Consider the following 13,600-nt stretch of genomic DNA (forward strand, 5'->3'; position numbering starts at 1 on the left):
TACTCACTGACAAAGTCCCAGCCTTTCCATACACCCCTTCTCAGAGTCATGAATCCTTTCCCACAATGTACATTTGCAGAAATGGGCAGAGGTGAAGAGCAGGCCTAGGCATGTGACTGGTAGGTGGCATCCCAGGAAGCATCACGGGGTGATATGGGGCTTAGGCATTTGTTCTGCGGGGGACACAACCACTGCAGGGAAATGGGCTAGGAAGGGTGAAATGCCCCCACCCAACCCACCCATCTGCCAGGCCATGCCTGCATGTTGAGAGGTGACTGGAGAGGCAAAGAGTGAAGCGCCCCCTTCGCCCGCTTCCCAGCAGACCTCAGCACCTTTTTCGGCACCTGCCTCCCACTCTCCATCATCCCTCCCCTTCCAAGCCTAGGTTAGTTTTGCTACATTGATTAAAGACCATTGCAAGTGAATGCACTCAGCACAGGTGCCTGACACTTACCAAGCATTGGCCAAATGGGGATATCTCATTTTCTCTCCACAAAGGTGATTTCTTTTAAAAGTCCATTGATCTCTCTGGACTGTGTTTTCATAAAGTTACCTACCAAGTGCTACAGGAGCCCTCAAGAGAGTTACTCCCCTCTTCTCCTGCCTCTTCCCCCTCAGTCCCTTCTCTCTCCAGTGGCTCCTTCACACCCTCCCCACCCCCTTCCCCTCTCACTCATCTCCCCGCTGCCTCTTCCTCTCTAGGTACTGAGCCACGTATCTGGCACTGTCCTGAGGTTGTCCATGTTTGTCATCTCCTTGACTCCTTACAACAACTTCAAAGTTGGCACCATTACTCCTGTTTTACAGTTGAGGACACAGAGGTTCTGAGAGGTTAAGTAACTTGCCCAAGGCCACACAGCTAGTGAATGAAGGGGTCAGGTCTCAAGCACAGCTCTGGCTGGCTCCAAGTCCAGTGTTGCCTATCACTGCGGGCCTTCTCTGACCTCTCCACTCCTCCTCTCCCAAGAAGGAGTATTGTCTCCTTGTGGAGAAGGGAGGAGAGCCTTGAGTTAGTCGTGCCCATTTAGAGATGATTTTGGCTTTTCTGGGCATCCCTGAGGTCATGGAATCTGGGAGCAGAAAGAGATAGTTGCCATCAGAGATTTGGTCCCCACCCTGAAACCAGGAATTGGGTACTGGCCGCGAGAACGTCGGAGGGCTGATGGAGCAGTGGAGCCCACCATGCACAACTCTGTACCTCAGAGTCCCCACCCGCCTTGTGATGTACCCCACCACGGTCACTGAGTTCTCTTTTAAACCCTCCTCTGGGACCCCCCACATCTCTTCTTCCGGCTATGTCACTGCAGGCCAGTCATTCCCCATCTCTGAAAGAGAGCACTAATAGTAACTGCGGGGCTGTGGGAGGGTTGAATGGGAACACAAATGTGAGAGTGCCGGCCATACAATAGGGGTGTAGTAATTATCTGTTGTTTCTGAATCCTTGAGACAGAGGGGGAGTATGGAAAGAGAGGGCCTGTCCTGCTCAGAACCATTCTAAAGGTATGAATGTGCAATTCTGGGGCCCTGGACATTGGCTATTACCCAGGATCTGGTCTCCCGGCCACTGCTTGGACACTCCCAGGACTAAGGAGCTAGCAAGAGGTAGAGCAGCCTAGGGACTAAGAAGTTCAGACTCAGCTTTGTCCCTTGCTGGCTGAGTGACTTGGGCAACTTCCTGACCACTCTGCTCGTAGGATTCCCCATCTGTAAGGTTGGGATAGTAGTAATAGTACCTGCTTCAGAATAGTTACGAAGGTAAATAAGTCTAAGGAGAACTAGAACAATGCATGCCACTCAGGAAAGAAGCATACCAAGGTCAGAGCTTTTGATTGAGACTAGGAGCCTGAACAGGGAAGCAATCTGCCCAAGTTCAGCCGGGACTCAGCAGTGACGCACTGGGGTCATGAAGCTGGGGCAGCCCTGCCATGGACAGGGGTCCTTCATGTGTCCTGTGGGGGCCAGAGCCAGGCAGAGCCTGTGGCCAGCCAGAGCAAGGCCAGGGTCAGAGGCAGGAGCATCCATCCGGTCATCCCAAGAGCAGGGAGGGGGTGGGTGAGTCTAGGCTCATCTTTCCAGCAGGTCAGTTCACTCACCAGAGTCCAGACTTCTCATCAGCTATAGGGTTGGACATCCGTGCCCTCCTCCCCCTCATTCTTCTTTATAAGGCTTGCATTATATACCAGAATTGAAGTCAAAACCTACACTTTAATTGCACAAGGCATGCTCTACCACGGAATATGTAAATCACTGCAGATGAGGGTGAAAGTCCCCTCGAACTCTCATTCCTATTCCCCATTCCCTTAAACACACAGTATATTGTTTTGTGGATTTGTTGTTTTTACATATATGATATCAAACTATAAGAAACCTGAAGTAACTTAGTTGGGTTCCTTCAGTAATATCCCAGAGGTATTCCCACATTGATACATAGAGTTCTGAGTTAAATGTTTTTCTGGCTGCATAGTATTCCATTTTCCAGATGTGCTATGGTTTATTTAGCCATCTCCTCACTGCAGTATTCTTACAGTGTTTCTAGTTTCATCAGCATTGCAGTGAACTTGTTCACATACCTCCTTATGCACATAAAAGGTTTTCTGAAGGGTAGATCCCAGAAGGCAATCAATGGACCAGAGAGCAGGCATATTTTAAATCTCCATATCCACTACCATGTGACAGTCCCCCAAGAGGCTGTGACAGCAGACTCCCTGGCCACCCTTGGTGCCCAGAGCTCCCCAACCACGGAACCACTGTGGAGATGGGAAGGGAGGTTTCCCAAGTGAGTGACCTTCCCCACTTTTCTGCAGGAAGATTTTTGGTAGGGTGGGGGTGGGGAGAAGGGTCATGTCTCCATCCTCATTTGTCTTCCACTGTGGTTTAGAATTCAGTTTCTCCAAAAGGCAAAGACCTCTCATCTCCATGCCCTAGTCACATCGTGTGGGACGTGGGAGCAAGATTTTCTGTCTCCACCACCTCAGAAGAGCAGACCAGGGAAGGTGTGATTGAGGAGTGGTCACCCTGTGGGCCCCGGGAGGTGTTTTTGGGGGTGCAGTGGTGAGGCCTACCCTTCCTGGATGTTTTGGAGCAGCCAAGTCATGATAGGAGAGGTTTTGGGAGCAGGACAGGAGGCTGAGCCCCACTGGTCCACCCACATGTCTGACCTCTCCTCGCTCCCACTCGTAGACACACAAAGGCTGTAGGTGGAAGGAAAGAGGAAGGGAGAGAAGGAAAGCAAGAAAGACTTAAAAATAGCTCTCCTTATGAAAGGAGACATTCAAAGACTCGCTGACGTGTCGGCCCTCCCTGACAATGAGTCTAATGGGGCCTTTTCAGGCTAAATACCAGCTCCCCCGAGACCAGCCCAGTAGCCAGCAGCCCCTCCCAGGGACCCCCTCCCCCACCTGAGTCTCATGGCCACATTTGTTTCCCAGTCTGGCCTGTTTCTGGAACAGACCCTTCCTGTCCTCACGCCCTCTGTGGCAGGTCTGCTCCTGCCCAGCAGGGCCCACATGCCCAGAGCTCTGCTCTTGCCGGGCCGGCTGACCGGTGTCCCTGGTCCTTGCACCTGTAGCCTCACCTTGACCATCCGCCCCCAATTAAAGGGTCCACCTGAGCCCTGGTTGTTGCCATTGGACCAGTCCCCAGCTGGGGTTAAACACCACCATGCACTTTCTCTGTGCTATGGACTTCTAGAGCTAGATTCACAGCTGCACACTGGCTCCACTGCAAACTCTTGCTTCTCCTGGGCCCCGGGGAAGGGGCTCTGAACCACAGCCTGTGCTTCCCACTCCCAGAAAACAATACTCATCTCCTAGTGAACATGAACTTTCTCCACTGTCTGCCTCTCTTCTGTCTGTATCTTCACTCAGTTACTCCCAGTCCCTCCTCTTCTTCCACAGAAACTTATTTATTAAATATATACTGAGCGTCTACTCTGTGCCTGGCTCATTGTCAGGGAGGACCAACATGCAAGCACCCTTTCAAGGGCTGAAGACACAGCAATGACAAGTCAGACCAGTCCCTGCCTGCCCTGTTGGAGTTTCACATTCTAGAGAAGGGGATGGAAGGTAAACCAGAAAACTCCTAAGATGGGATTAGGTGGTAACAAGTGCTATAAAAAACAAACTGGCAGCCAGGCACGGTGGCTCACACCTGTAATCCCAGCACTTTGGGAGGCTGAGGTGGGCGGATCACGAGGTCAGGAGATCAAGACCATCCTAGCTCACATGGTCAAACCCCGTCTCTACTAAAAATACAAAAAATTATCTGGGTGTGGTGGCACGTGCCTGTAGTCCCAGCTACTTTGGAGGCTAAGGCAGGAGAATTGCTTGAATCCGGGAGGCAGAGGTTGCAGTGAGCCAAGATCGAGCCACTGCACTCTAACCTGGGCGACAGAGCAAGACTCTGTCTTAAGACAACAACAACAATACAAACAAACAAACAAACAAACAAAACTGGCTATGGTCGTGAGGAACAGAGCTCCTGGGATTGGGGGTGGGGGCATCTTAGACACAGAATGCCTTCATTTTTCTATTTTTAAAAAATTGTGGGAAAATACACATAACATAAAATCCACCATCGTAACCATTTTTAAGTGTGCAGTGCAGTAGCATGAAGCACATTACATTGCCATGCAGCCATCAACACCATTCATTTCCAGAGCTTTTTCCTCTTCCCAAACTGAAACTCTGCCCCCTTTAGACACTGACTCCCCATTCCTCCTCCCCTATCCCCTGGCAGCCACCGTTCCACTTCCTGTCTCTATGAGTTCAGTTACTCTAGGGACTTCACATGAGTGGAATCCTACAGTATTTGCTCTTTTGTGAGTGGCTTATAGACTTAGCATAATGTCCTCAAGGTTCATCCACTCTGTAGCATGGGTTGGAATTCTTTCCCCTTTAATACTGAGTTTGATTCCGTTGTATGGGTGGACTGTATTTTGTTTGCCCATTCATTCATTGACAGATGCATGGGTTGCTTTCACCTCTTGGCTGTTGCGAATGGTACTGCTGTGAACGTGGGTGCACAGATCTCTCTAAGACCCTGCTTTCAGTTCTTGTAAGTATATGCCCTGAAGTGGGATTGCTGTATTATATGGCGATTCTGTGTTTAGTTTTTTGAGGAACTGCCATATAGTTTTCCACAGCAGCCACACCCTCTTAACATTCCTGCCAATAGCGCAGAAGGGTTCCAATTCCCAGGGAGGGGCTCTTGGATGAGGAAGACACATCTGTGAGGGAACGGAATGGCATGAGGGAGCCCGAATGGCATGAGGGAGCCCGCACTGTGAAGCCCTAGGGCAGAGCCTTCCAGGCAGAGGAGAGCAGTGCAAGGGCAGGAGGGCGGAGAGAGTCTGTGAGCCAGAGCCTAGGAGGTCATTGTGGCTGGAGCAAGGTGAGGTTGGGGAAAGAAGGGGAGCGGGAGCTGGAGAGATTCGTCAGGTCTTCCCTCAGGCCATGGCCATATTGAAGCCTCCCTCACTCCTCCACCTCCCTTACTGCTGTCGCTGGTGCTGCACAACCCTCTTGATACCCAGGAGCCAGGCTCCCTTCCGCCGTCCACTTCAGACCCCTCTTACACAAGCCCTGAGCCTCAGCCCTGGTGGCCTCACCTCCTTGGGAACAAACATCCTCTTCCCTGGGCTTGCCTGACAGTCCTCTCCTGGTTCTCCTTCGTTTCTGACTGTGCAACTCTGTCAACTCTGCTGTCTTAGGCATTTCCCAAGGCTCCACCGCCCCCAGACCCCATCCTTCATTCTGTGCCCTCTTCGCCGGCAGCCCGTTCCAGCCATGGCCAGCCCTACGCAGGTGGCATCCCAGAGCACACCATCTGGCCTGACCCCAGACTTGAGCTTCTTGGTGCCCTTTAGGGACCTTCTTGGAAGCCCCATAGATGCTTCAAACTCAACACATCCCATACCAAGCTCATCCTCTTCCCATCCCCGGCCTGCCTGCTTCCTGTGTTTGCTATTCTGGATGTTAGCACCAGATGTGGAAGATCTGAATTCCTGACGTGTCATCTTCTTATTGCCATGTCTTAATCACAGATCAGAGAAAATTCAGTAGACACCCAGTTCTTCGACCAGACATCATGCAAGATACAAAACGAGTTCTGTCTGCTCCTTAAACCCACCTCAGACCCTTTGCCATTGGAGTTTCCTCCACCAGAAGTGTGCTCCCTGCCCTTTGCCTGGCTGGCTACAGGTCTCAATTTGAATGTCACCTCCTCAGAGAGGGCTCCTAGATCTTCTGCCATACTCTGTCACAGCATTCCTGGCTATTTCCTTATGCTGTAGTCTTGTTCTTCATTCCTCTGTTTTCTTGCCCATCGTTTGCCTTTCCCTGGCAGTCGTTCCAGGAGGGCAGACACTGTGTTTATCCTGTTCATGGGTGCGTCCTTGCTGCCTAGTACATTAAGATATAGTCAATGAATATCTTCAAATAAGTTAATAAACAAAAGAATACATTAGGCCCAGTTCCTGCATTTACATAAGAAAAACAAACTCGAATGTCTGACAGTTTAATAAAATGAAAACACTTGTTTGGCTCTGTGTAACTTACTCTGCACAGTGAGTGATGGAGCTGGGAGTCCAACCTGCATTTTTGATATTCCTGTTGCTTCACCCTGGCTCCCCCATAGCCATGCAGAGAGTGCTGCATTTCAGTACAGTAACACAAGAGACATTGCAAGGCGGGTGACAGAGGAGAGGGAGGGAGGCAGACACAACTCAGAGGGGACGGGAGAGAAGAGGGGCTCCAAGGTTCTGGAGGGCGTCCTGGGTACGTGTATGCCTCACACGCCTTGCTGAGGTCCTTGGGGGGCTTGAAGGCAGCCAGGGCCAAAGGGCTGGGCAGGTTAGGATCCCCTGGCCCTGGGACAGCTTGTTCTGTGGCTGAGTTTCCTCAGTCAAAAGGGGAGTCTCAGACATGCCCTTTGCCCTAGTGTTTGGTATGTGGTCCACAGATGATACTCAGTCTTGCTTTCTCCTTCCTGACTTGGCAGTGGTCACTCTCTCTCGCTCTTCATGGCCTATGGCCAAAGTGCCATATGTGGACGAACAGCACCCTAGCATCTGGGGGATCATTAGAAACACAGTATCCCAGGTCCCACCCCATACTTGCCGAACCCAGATCTGCCTGTTGACAAGATCCTCAGTGACTCACGTGTGCTCACTTAAGTCTGAACTCTGGCCCATGTGCAGCAATCACCCAGTCTATGTGGAGCACTTGTGGTGCCCTCGGCTCTGGGAGATGCCACAGAAGAAGCTAATGGGGTCCCAACTTTGGGGAACTTAACAGTTGAGTTGGAGAATGAAAAAGCAATTCATGTGATGATCTTTAAACTTTATATTCATATTTTATGTACTTCTCTGAATGTTGTACTCTGAATGTTGTATGTCACACTTTAAAAAAATAAACCAAGGTTTCACATGAGATGGAAGGGTTATGGAATTTAACTGAAAAATGGCAAGATCTTTAAATTTGGAGAAGAGACTTTATTTCTTATAAGGGGTTACAGCCTGTAAGGTGGCTGTTCTCATGGGCTGGGAAGTATAGCCTCTGGCTAAAGCCTTTAGCAGGTGCTCAAAGCAGGTACTCAAAGCACCTGTTTGAGGGAGGGAGGGGTAAGACAGGAATTTATGCTTGCAGGGGTGGACAAGTTTACATATTCAGCAAATTATAGGAGGAGCTGTGGATATTCATAAAAGAAGGCAGTGTGCACGTGTGATAAGCAAGCGTGCATGTTGCATGTGTCCCATGTTCACCTTGGGGTGGAGACTTAAATGTATTACAGTTAGGCCTTATATGTCAAAAGATGAAGCTGGGGCGGCATGAAGGCACTCAGTGCACAGCCTCCTCAAACCAGCCAGAGCCAGTCCATGGTGGGTGGTCTCTTATTAGGAGAAAGTCATAGAAATCAGTCTCTTGTCCAGTCAATCCAATCAAAGCTGTAGCTTGGCTGGTAGAACAGGGGGCTTAGTTAGTCAGTGTCTGACGGTGGCTGAGCTGCAATTGTTTCGACATTGCTTATCTTGAGGCCAGTGCTTGTTTAGCTGCTGGTGAAAAAGAAAAACCTCATGGCAGTGAGAACAGAATTCATTCTTTAAGTGTGGGGTGCATGGCTTAACCCTTGCCTGGCACAGCCTTAGGTCTTGTTTATAATTTGGCATCGTATTGCCACAGATTCCATTCTGTCAAGTCTTATGATCTCTATTTTAACATTAGTGCTGGTCAGATGTTGTGTCTAAACTGAAAGAGGGAAGGAGTGTAATGATGTGTGTCCAACCTCCCATCACATCATGACTGGGAACTCAATCTTTAAGGTTTTTCTGGGATCCCCTTGATCAAGAGGGGGCTTGTTCAGTCAGTTGAGGAGTTTAGGATTTTGTTTTTAGGTCTCAGGGGCAGCCCTCATGCCCAGCTGTGTGAACTAAACCATGAGCAGTGGAAGGGGTCTATGTTGTAAGAGTCAGAGCAGTCAGGAAGGCTTCCAGGAGGTGGTGAGGCCTAAGTGCTCCTTGGAAGAGAGCAGGACGTAGTTAAGTAGAAAGGAGGAGAAAAGTTTATAGGAGGCAAAAACAGATGGGATGAAGGCATAGAATCCAGCCATTAGCCGGCTGTTTGAAGTCATGGCTGGACCTTTCCAGAATTAAGTGCGATGGGGAGGGCTGTGTCTTGTTTGAGCCAACACTGGCCCTTTCTTGCCATCAAACATGGGGAGCTGCTAATCACAATCACAGTCACTCTCTTAGGATTCCAGAAGGTGAGAGAGCTGAAAGGAGCATTTAGAGACCACTGTTTCTTTTCACTGTGGCAAGAACGTTTAACGTAAGAGCTACACTTTTTTTTTTCTTTTTTTTTTTTGAGACAGTTCTGTCACCCAGGCTGGAGTGTAGTGGCACGATCTTGGCTCACTGCAACCTCCGCCTCCCGGGTTCAAGATATTCTCCTGCCTCAGCCTTCCGAGTAGCTGGGACTACAGGCTCACGCCACCATGCCAGACTAATTTTTGTATTTTTAGTAGAGATGGGGTTTCACCATATTTGTCAGGCTGGTCTTGAACTCCTGACCTCAGGTGATGCACCTGCCTTGGCCTCGCAAAGTGCTGGGATTACAGGTGTGAGCCACTGCGCCCAGCCAGACCTACACTCTTAATGCCCATCCTTCGGTGAGTGGATAAGGAAAATGTGGTCTGTGTATACAATGGAATATTATTCAGCCATAAAAAGGAAGGGAATTCTGCCATTTGCAACGATGTGAATGAACTTGGAGGGCTTGATGCTGAATGAAATAAGCCAGTCACCGATGGACAAATACTGCATGAGTGCACTTACATGAGGTGTCTAAAATATAGGGCCAGGCATGGTGGCTCATGCCTGTGTTCCCAGCACTTCGGGAGGCCAAGGCAGGAGGTTCACTTGAGGCCAGGAGTTGGAGACCAGCCTGGGCAACATAATGAGACCTCGTCTCTACAAAAAATAAAAAAATTAGCTGGGTGTGATGGCGTGCATGCCTGTGGTCCCAGCTACTCAGGAGGCTGAGGCTGAAGGATCACTTGAGCCCAGGTGCCATTGCATTCCAGCCTGGGTGACAGAATGAGATCCCTAAGTCTCTAAAAAATAAAATAGCCTAATTCACAGAAGCAAGGAGTAGAATAGTGGTTGCCGGGGGTGGAGGGAGGGAGAGGTGGCAAGCTACTGTTCAACAAAGTTTCAGTGATATAGGAGATCACTGGAAGGAAAACTGCAGCTTCTCACTTGTTCCTTGCTCAGGGCTATTCAGCAGGTTGGAGGCCAAGTCAGGAGTAGAAATCAGGCCTCCTGATCCCTCATTCAGGGTGTTCCAAGATAGCATGCTGCTTCTGCAAATTTGTTACACACTGTAGCCAGAACCAAAGATCTCTCCAAAATTAAAGGTCTTTTAAGTAGCTGGGCCAAACCCACAGTCACACCAGCCTAACTTCAGGAACTGGACTAGTCAGCATGATCTGGAAACTGACCAGCTGGTCCTGGGGAAGCCAGGGGGCCACTGTTGCGTCCCTCCTTCTCCCCTCGCTTGTCCTGGCAGGCACTCACTCTCCTCCGCCTCCTCTTCCTGCTCCTGGTGACAGCTGGGATAAAGAGTGAGCCACCTCTCCCTGAGTACCTGTCTCTGAGTTTTCCAGCAGCTGTTGAAGGCTGTGCTGGAAACCCCCACCTGTGTTCCCTGCCTGCCCCAGTGGTCCCCAGGGGACTTGGAGACTGTGTTCTCCTGGAGCCTAGTGCCCCATGTATCTGGGTTTCTGAGCACTCTCCCGTCTCCAGATGTGACTTCAGAATTCTCCAGCTGGCCCCTTCATTGGGACCCTCAACACATGGAAGACTCACAAGGAAAATTTCCCCAGGGCTTGAAACAGCCATGGAAGGTGGCCCCTTCCTTGTGTGTGGATGTGGGTTATTTTAGGGGGGCTGCGTGGCTGAAGAGGCTGGCGCATACGGGGCATCGGGGGCACCTCAGATGTAGCCTGTGACCTAGAGATGTTTATTGAGGCTGTGTGGGGATTCTGGGCACAGGAAACTGTGTGAACCAAACACACCCAGAGGTAGGAAAAAATAGAGTGGGCTTAAGGGATCACCTGGAGCTCCATGTGGCATGGAGGAGTGGTGGAGGGGACTGGGAACAGCCCTGAGCTGAGCCACAGGGGCCCCTTTCTGTAAGCGCTGGGAGCCTCTGCAGCCACTCAAGGGTGCAGGTGACAGAAGGAGGCTGTGGGAATGGCTAGGAGGCTGGAGCTCAGAGTGAATGAGAGACAGGCCAGTCAAGGGTACAGGGAGGGTCAGAGCTTGGGTCCAAGATGAGGGATGGGAAGCCTGGACTTCAGAGGTAGAGCAGTGTGGAGTGTGGGTGAGGCCCAGGCTGGAGGGAGTGGAGGGAGACACTGCTGAGAGACATCTGAGGAGGAGGGAGGTCTCAAGGAGGTGAGCACAGGGCATTCAGATTGGAGTGCCCAGTGACCACAGGTGCAGGGGGACAGGTGTGAACTGATGGGGGTGTGTGCCGAGCCAGACACAGAGGCTTTGGGGGCGAGGAGCTTGGCAAAGGACTGGCAGAGACCAGTGAAAGAAAGAGGTGGCTGTTAACATCAGGCTGCGCCATCTTAAAGGCCGAGCAGGTGTGGACCCAGGAGGCCTGTACGCAGAGAGGGGAGGCGACGAGATAGGCATCTTGAGGTTGTTCCTTCCTCTCCCACAGGTAGGACATGGTGGGGAAGGATTGTGTGGACCCTGGGCATACTTGGGGACCATCCTGAGGGACAGGCCAAAAGGCCTGGGGTTCCCTGGCCTCTGTAATAATAAAGCGATGCTAATGCCTCACTCCCCTGTAGCTCTTTACTGATTATGAAGAGCTTTTCCATCCACAACCCTTTGCTGTCTTTGTGTGACAGCCTCTGAAACAGTGGTTCTCAAAACTTTTTGGTCTCAGACCCACCTCCCCTCTTAAAAATGATCGAGGGCCCCAAAGAATTTTTGTTTCTGTGAATCACATCTCTGCAATGTTTACCACATTAGAAAGTAAATCAGAAAATTTTGAAACATCTTTTAATGCATTTTAAAATAACAAACCCATTACATGTTAATACAAGTAGCACTTTTATGCAAAAAATAAATAAATAAATAAATAAATAAACCACCCTGTTTTCTAAAACAATCAAGAAAAAACAAAAGAGTGACATTTTTACATTTTTACAAATATTAATGTCTGGCTGAACAGAAGGTAGCTGGATTCACCTATCCACTTCCCCACTCGGTTGGTTGGAATTGTTTTGGTTGACTTAAATGAATAATATCTAGGCTCATACAGATATGTAGTTGGAAAAGGTAGGACTTTACATACCTCAGAGGTTCTCAGGCTATATTTTGGGAACTGATGTCCTCGAAGGAGGCTGAGCACCCAGTTTTACAGTTGGAAAAACTAAGGCATGGAGACAGAGGACCCGGATTCTTGACTCTTTGTGTGACCCGCTGTCTAACACTGAGGTTCCCTGGACCCCTCCCGACCTGCCCGGGTCCCAGAATAGCCAAGTGTTGAACCAGCTGGTTTGCTGGGGACCAGGGAGGAGGCCAGTAGCCCTGGGGACAGCCTCAGGCAGGGGCAGGTGGCCTGATGTTAACACCCATAGCTTCAGCTTGAGAAATGCCATAGCAATAGCATGGGCCTTGGCACCCCCAGCCCCCAAGCTCCTGGGAGGAGCCCTGTTCCCAGAAGCCTGTCCCTGGACTCTGCCGTCAGCCTCGGAGTTCATTTCCTGGTTAAACAAACATCTATATTAAATGGCCCAGTTGGGCAACGCCCAGAAGCAGTTTCTGCGTGCCTCGGGCACACAGCCTGCCAGGCCTCCCCGTTGGCCGCCTGGCGAAGACACATCCATCATCGCAGAGTCACTGAAGCAGGACTGCCCCGTGCGTCCCACCCAGAATCTGCACGTCTGGCAGGAGGGGCTGGGTGGGACGTGCAGAGGGGCCCGTGTCTGGACCCTACCAAAAGCCTGTCCTCGACAGCTTGGAGATTGTAACAGTGGTAATGATGGCAACTCCAGAAGTTTGGGTATGGTGTGACGGCTGCCATCCATCATCTGACCTCATCCTGGCAGGATAGGAACGCCCACCTGTTTGCCAGATGAGGAAACAGAGGCATCTGAGAGGGGCTCGCCCACGGTCACACAGCCACCCATGGCCTTGTTTGGGGGAGGATCCAGGCATCTTGACTTCCAGCATAGTTGTCTTTGTGCCATTGTGGCCACGTTCTGAGGATCCGGAGTGAGGAAGCCTGAGTGCAGAGGGGCAAGCCCAGGCTGCTCTGATGTGTGTCTGCTCTGATGAAAAGCACAGCAGGATAAAGATGGGGCAGGGGCCCTTAACCAGGGGTGACGTCTTGCATCACCCCAAGCCCTAGGACATTTGGCAGTATCTAAAGACATTTTTGATTGTCACAGTGGGGGTTGAGGGAGTAGAGGCTCCTATTGTCATCCAGTGGGTAGAAGCCAGGGATGCCATTAGTTATCCTGTAATACGTAAGAACAGCTTCTACAGCAAAAACTATTCTTCAGAATGTCAACAGTCCAAGATGGAGAAACCCTGGGGTGGAAAATGATTTGGGGTGTTCTTTAGGTCAGGCAGTCATGGATGACTGTGCTGAGGTTGTGACTTTTGAGCAGAGACCTGAAGGAACCAGAAAATACAAATGAAAAGATCTGGGGAAGAGCATTGCAAGAAGAGGGAACAGCACATGCAGAGGCCCTGAGTCAGGAAGGCATCCTCAAGAAGCCAGTGTGTGAGACCGGGTTGGTTATTCTCTACCAGATCTCAGATGAAAACACTGAGGCTCAGAGATAAGGGCTCACCAGAGGTCATACCATGAAACAGTGCTGGAGCTGGGTTTGAAATGGATGTGATTGATTCCAGAGTCCATTTGCTTTCCACTGTCTCTGCTGCTACTGTCAGAGGAGTGGCCCAGCCTTCATTTTGCAGTTAAGGCCTTTCCCTTACTCGATTCTATAAATTTTTTTTTCTTCTTCTATCCCTGGTTACTTGGTTTTGTTCCTGGCACCACCTCAGTGACAAAAA

General features: G+C 50.4%; 1 protein-coding gene across 6 annotated transcripts in view; it reads left to right on the top strand.

The window, feature by feature from the left end:
* Nucleotides 1–13,600, top strand: part of FGD5 (FYVE, RhoGEF and PH domain containing 5) — a 123,884-nt gene that overhangs the window by 54,198 nt on the left and 56,086 nt on the right. The window lies entirely within an intron of this gene.

The sequence above is a fragment of the Homo sapiens genome, chromosome 3 (genome assembly GCF_000001405.40).
Source record: "Homo sapiens chromosome 3, GRCh38.p14 Primary Assembly".
Taxonomy (NCBI): Eukaryota; Metazoa; Chordata; class Mammalia; order Primates; family Hominidae; genus Homo; species Homo sapiens.